This window comes from Homo sapiens, chromosome X (assembly GCF_000001405.40).
Source record: "Homo sapiens chromosome X, GRCh38.p14 Primary Assembly".
NCBI lineage: Eukaryota > Metazoa > Chordata > Mammalia > Primates > Hominidae > Homo > Homo sapiens.
This window is the reverse complement of record NC_000023.11, coordinates 20,840,503-20,847,036: the sequence shown is the minus strand read 5'-3', so window position 1 is coordinate 20,847,036 and position 6,534 is coordinate 20,840,503. Positions and strand designations below refer to the sequence as shown.

At 37.1% G+C, this 6,534-nt stretch overlaps 2 annotated features.

Annotated features, from left to right (window-relative positions):
* Positions 745-1,244: an enhancer, noted in NCBI's record as "H3K4me1 hESC enhancer chrX:20863911-20864410 (GRCh37/hg19 assembly coordinates)". NCBI's record gives its function as "activates a minimal SCP1, AML or CMV promoter by ChIP-STARR-seq in naive H9 embryonic stem cells {active_cell/tissue: H9 hESC(naive)}" and the evidence as "EXISTENCE:reporter gene assay evidence [ECO:0000049][PMID:30033119]".
* Positions 1,245-1,746: an enhancer, noted in NCBI's record as "H3K4me1 hESC enhancer chrX:20863409-20863910 (GRCh37/hg19 assembly coordinates)". NCBI's record gives its function as "activates a minimal SCP1, AML or CMV promoter by ChIP-STARR-seq in naive H9 embryonic stem cells {active_cell/tissue: H9 hESC(naive)}" and the evidence as "EXISTENCE:reporter gene assay evidence [ECO:0000049][PMID:30033119]".

The following is a 6,534-nucleotide window of genomic DNA, read 5'->3' as shown; positions in this document are numbered from 1 at the left end:
AGTGTTTTCCAACTTGGTTCCATTCTCCCCATCACTTTCAGGTACACCAATCAGACGTAGATTTGGTCTTTTCACATAGTCCCATATTTCTTGGAGGCTTTGTTCATTTCTTTTTATTCTTTTTTCTCTAAACTTCCCTTCTCACTTCATTTCGTTAATTTCGTTTTCCATCACTGATACCCTTTCTTCCAGTTGATCGCATCGGCTCCTGAGGCTTCTGCATTCTTCACGTAGTTCTCGAGCCTTGGCTTTCAGCTCCATCATGTCCTTTAAGGACTTCTCTGTATTGGTTATTCTAGTTAGCCATTCGTCTAATTTTTTTTCAAAGTTTTTAACTTCTTTGCCATTGGTTTGAATTTCCTCCTGTAGCTCGGAGTAGTTTGATCATCTGAAGCCTTCTTCTCTCAAATGGTCGAATTCATTCTCCGTCCAGCTTTGTTCCATTGCTGGTGAGGTTCCATTGCTGGTGAGGAACTGCGTTCCTTTGGAGGAGGAGAGGTGCTCTGCTTTTTAGAGTTTCCAGTTTTTCTGCTCTGTTTTTTCCCCATCTTTGTGATTTTATCTACTTTTGGTCTTTGATGATGGTGACGTACAGATGGGTTTTTGGTGTGGATGTCCTTTCTGTTTGTTAGTTTTCCTTCTAACAGACAGGACCCTCAGCTGCAGTTCTGTTGGAGTTTGTTAGAGGTCCACTCCAGACCCTGTTTGCCTGGGTATCAGCAGTGGTGGCTGCAGAACAGCGGTGGCTGTTGAACAATGGATTTTGGTGAACCGCAAATGCTGCTGCCTGATTGTTCCTCTGGAAGTTTTGTCTCGGAGGAGTACTGGCTGTGTGAGGTGTCAGTCTGCCCCTACTGGGGGGTGCCTCCCAGTTAGGCTGCTCGGGGGTCAGGGACCCACTTGAGGAGGCAGTCTGCCCGTTCTCAGATCTCCAGCTATGTGCTGGGAGAACCACTACTCTCTTCAAAGCTGTCAGACAGGGACATTTAAGTCTGCAGAGGTTAATGCTGTCTTTTTGTTTGTCTGTGCCCTGCCCACAGAGGTGGAGCCTACAGAGGCAGGCAGGCCTCATTGAGCTGTGGTGGGCTCCACCCAGTTCTAGCTTCCCGGCTGCTTTGCTTACCTAATCAAGCCTGAGCAATGGCAGGCGCCCCTCCCCCAGCCTTGCTGCCTCCTTGCAGTTTGATCTCAGACTGCTGTGCTAGCAATCAGCGAGGCTCTGTGGGGGTAGGACCCTCTGAGCCAGTTGCAGGATATAATCTCCTGGTGTGCCGTTTTTTAAGCCCGTTGGAAAAGCGCAGTATTAGGGTGGGAGTGACCCGATTTTCCAGGTGCCATCTGTCACTCCTTTCTTTGACTAGGAAAGGGAACTCCCTGACCCCTTGCACTTCCCAAGTGAGGCAATGCCTCAACCTGCTTCAGCTTGTGCACGGTGCACTGCACCCACTGTCCTGCACCCACTGTCTGGCACTCCCTAGTGAGATGAACCTGGTACCTCAGATGGAAATGCAGAAATCACCCATCTTCTGCATCACTCATACTGGGAGCTGTAGACTGGAGCTGTTCCTATTCGGCCATCTTGGCTCCACCCCCATCCCACATTATACTCTTACTGAGCAGCAGTTTTTCATGAATATTAGACTCGTTTCAATTATCCCAGCAATAATTTGCAGTTCACGTTAATGAAATCATAACTACACTTTTTCAGAGATTAATATTAAATTTTAGCCTGAAAGTATTTTTTATCCATAAGGAATTTGTTGATTTAATATTAACTCCATTTTCCAATATTCATCAAAGTAGGTTTATATCCTTTTATCACTTATCAAGTACTTTTCTTGGACATTACCTCAGTTGATCTCTGTAACAACCTTGTTAGATGTGCCACCTTAAAAGGTTATTTTTTTAATAAGTGTTGGAAAAAATACACACTTACATTTCTACATACATCATGTTTAAAAAACCAAATAACCTCTGGGCAGGAAAACGCCTTATTCACTGTTGTATCCCCAGCATCTAGTACAACTACTGGTATATAATAAGTACACAGTAAATATGTATTGAATGCATAGACTAGTGAACCAGAAAGCAAGACACTTATTAAAGTTTCTACTATAGGGATGAGAAAACAAAAAAAATTCAGAGACTTTAAATGATTTGCCTAAGGGTGAAATGGTAGTTAAGTGTAAGTAGAACTGGAATACAGATGAAATGAAATAATGTATTTAAATTGTTTATCACAATGCCTGAGGCATACCAGGTACTCAATAAATGCACCTGTTTGATATCCTTTGTGCATATTCAAACATTTTAGTGTTCATTTCTACAGTAATGGTGAATATGGTAGTCATAGAAAGTAATTTCATATTTCAAGCAAGTTAAATCTTGTCTATTAAATAGCATCTACTGAAGGGTAAATACATTCCCAAAGGCTAAATGCTTCCTTTTCTTCATTTTAACACATTATCAATGAGTTGATTTAAAACCTAAAGAAAATTAAATTGAATTTTATGCAAGAGCATAAAATTCCAGCCATCAGCTATTCATCACATGCCAATTTTCCTGTGTCAAGGAGGAAGATTTCCATTTAGTCCCCTGAAATCTATATAGGCTGTTGTTCCCTTTTGCACATCCTGAGCCATTTACTCTGTAAATTACCATGAGTTGCAAACAGAAGTCCAGAAATATGTCTGTGCAGATTCACACCAGTCAGGCAGCTCTGCAAATAGCCTTGCCTGAGTCCTATTTTAAATACGTTCATTACTAACAATGTCATGTCATCCTTAGAGCTGATTTCCATATACCCCACCCCCAATCTACCACCAAACAAATAATATCTCAGACATTTCAAAACAGGCACTTCAGGCTTTACAGAAATTATTTAGCCATATTGTTACTAAGCTAAACCATCCACTGATACAAAAAAAAACTATTTACTTTCCCATGCCAGTTGTTTGGAGGATGTTACATTTTACTAAGGTCAGAGAATTGTCAGTTTTTCAATTAAGGCTCATATTTTTTTAAGCATGGATAAATATCTTTTTTTAAAAAAACTTCCTTGAAGACTTTTAAAGGAAGTCTTTAGAGAGAGTGTTTGTATTTTATTACCAGATAATTGTTTTTCCTGTAAGGCTTTTAAAAAATTTTTTTTATTTTAGGTTTGGGAGTACATGTGGAGGTTTGTTACATAGATGAACATGTCATGGAGATTTGTTGTACATATTATTACATCACCCAGGCATTAAGTTCAATTAACTTTTCCGCTCCTCTCCCTACTCCCACCCTCCCCCATCAAGTAGAGCCCACTGTCTGTTGTTTCCTTCTTTGTGTTCATAAGTTCTTATCATTTAGCTCCCATTTGTAAGTGACAACATGAGATATTTGATTTTCTGTTCCTGTGTTAGTTTGCTAAAGATGATAGCCTCCTGTAAGACTTTTTAAAAAAGTAATTGTTAGGTCCACAGAATGAGCTTTATGACATCCTCCTATTCCAAAGTCTTTCTCCAGCATCTTAGTCTTTCCTTCCAAACTTTACTGAGGTATAATTGATGTGTCAAAAACTGCATATAATTAATGTATAAATTTTGGTGACTGTGAACCAATGTATACACTTAAGTTACTATCACCATAATGTAGCACCTTACTTTTGCCATAAACATTAAAACTGTGCTTTGAAAAGACATCTCTAATTTGCCTTGAGTATCAGACTGATATCTTAGAGAATAGCTTGAGAAAGATGCTTAAAATGAGAACAGACGGACGATGAAGTCAATGTCAAGTCAAATGGATTTGCCCAAGATCATTAAGCTGAAATTTGAATTTAGGTTCGTCTGCCTCTGGTGCCTGTGCCCTTTCTACAATAGCAGGCTGGGAAAGATTCAAATTTTGCCCCTCCAAAGATCCAAGAAGAAAATCACTGGTGATTGAAAGCTAATGGAGATCATTTAAAAATCCAGAAAAGTGTGTATTGACATCCCCAAAGAATGAACAGTTCTAAAGGCCAATAAGCCTTCCTGAACAAAATGCATTATAATCAAAAACATGGGCACTATGGGCAATTAAAGGTAAGGAAGTATGAGCAGCTTATTATTTCATTTACTTGTTTATTATTTGTTTATTATTTTTCTCAGCTGTTTTACAGGAAGATACACTGATTAATTATATGGCCAGATAATCAAAGATGAACTGTACAGTCATCATTTTGAGAGGATTTTGAAAAGTAAGCTCAGTGCTCTAAGTTTTCCAGCCTCCTGGGATTTTCCCTTTCTTGATTTTCCAAATATGATTACTGCGTGGAATCGTTTTCTCTCCCCACTCTTTCTGAGGACTCTTCCAAAAGCAACAATGCTGGTTGTTGCATCTGCAACTTATTCACCAATCATGTCTAGACATTTTGATGACATTTACCCCAATTTTTCTGAGTTCTGCACCCCAAAATTGGGAAGAACTCCTTTCTCCAGTCTCCTAAGCATCACAAACACAAGTCTAACTCCAGACTCTTCTGATGACTTCAGGATGTTGAAAGGTAATTATAATAGAGAGAAAAAGAGAACTTGTCGTAGAGTTACATTACAGGGAGACTTCTTACTTCATTAGGGCTATTTTCCTTGCACAGGTATTAAAAAAAGCAAGGCTAAAAAAGATCTGCAATTAAGAGACTTGAAGTCTACCCTCAAAACTGCTAGAAATTCCAACATACTAGTTTTCTCACAAAAAATATAAAGTTCCACATTATGGTCCATTCTGCTACAAAAATTTCAAGAATGAATTAATTTTCTTACATGTCACCAACTAGAATTCATCATAGGCTTAGAAAAAGTAGATGATTTCATATTTTAAAATTAAATATCTATATATCCTCATGAGTTATATGAAGGTAGGTCTTCCTACTTTGAAAAGAAAAGTTGGTCCAGGATTACTTGATATCTCATAAATCCCTACTTTTTTAGTGTAATAATTTAAATATTTTTTACATTCAGTCAAACTTTTGAAATGGATAAACAGTTTAAACAGATAACAAAGGTAAAAGAAATAATAAGTTTCTCAATTTCATTGTTTAAATATCTACTTGGGCATTGAGTCATCAAATTCCTGTTTCCTCAAAAGGAATAGCAGCTTGAAGATTAAGAGTGTGTCACTCTGAACATTCTTCTTTGCCGATATTGTGCACCCTATAAATTTTCCTATCATCTACATGCATATGAATTCTACTTACATATATTCCTTCACTTTGTATTTGCCTTCTGATTTTTAGACTAATTTCTTAAAAAAATGACTCTGCTTGGACAGATTTCAGGTTTATCAAATTTAGTTTTTTCCATTTCTTAAAACTATATTGATGATAGAGTTCTGTATTTCAACATCCTTCTCAATGCACAGTTACTGAGGCAAGAAGTCTATTTGTATCTTCATTTTCTTTAACCACATTTTACCTCCCATCCACCTCCACACCTCCACTCAATGATCAAGTCTGGCCATTTTACTTCATAATTGTTTTTGACATTTGTCCACTTCTGTCTATCACCATGTGGTTCTCAACCCTAATTGCACATAAGAAATGGCTGGAGACCTCTAAAAATTAGTAATGCAGGACTTCTGCTTTTGACCAAGGTGGACTGTCAGGGACTGGATTTACTAGCCTACCTAAAAAAATAAACAGTTCCAAGAAGCTGAATGAATCCCATGCACAAGCAATATGAACACCAAGAAATATCCAGGTACATTATAATCAAATCATTGAAAATAATTGATTTTAAAAATTCTTGAAAGCAGCCCATGAGAAAAAAATTACATTATATAGAGGGTAACAGATGAGAACTACAACATACTTCTCATTAGAAATAATGCAAGACAGAAGACAGTGGAACAACATATCTCAGGTACCAAATGAATTAAAAAAAAAACCCTGTTAGCCTAGACTCTTATAAGCAGTGAAAATATGTTTCAAAAGTGAAGGTGAAATAATTACCTTTTTGATGTACAAAACCTGAAATCATCCATCAAGAGCAGAATTGAACTATGAGAGATGTTAAAGGAAGTATTTTAAACAGAAGGAAAATTGTATCAGATGGAAATCTGTATCTACACAAAGGGAGGAAAAGCACTGGAAATAGTAATTATGTGGGAAAACATAAAATGCTTTTCTCATTATTTTTCTCTCTTTGGAAGATAACTGATGATTTAAAGCAAAAATTTTAACAAAGTATGTTGGGGTTTAAAACAAAAGAATGAAGAAGGTGGAAATAATCAGTAAATTTGAAAATAGAAGAATAGAAATTACCCAATCTGAATGACAAGGAGATATAGACTTAAAAAAAAATGAACAGATCCTCAGGGACTTGTAGGGCTATAACTAAAAAACCTAATATTTATGTTATCAGAGTCTTAGAAAGAGAGGAGAAAAAGAGTTATGTTAATAAAGTATTCAAAGACATAGTGGCTGAAATTTTTTTGAACTTGGCAAAAGCAAAATGACCTACAGATTCAAGAAGCTGAATGAAGCTCAAACAGAGAAATCTTAAAGAAATCCACACC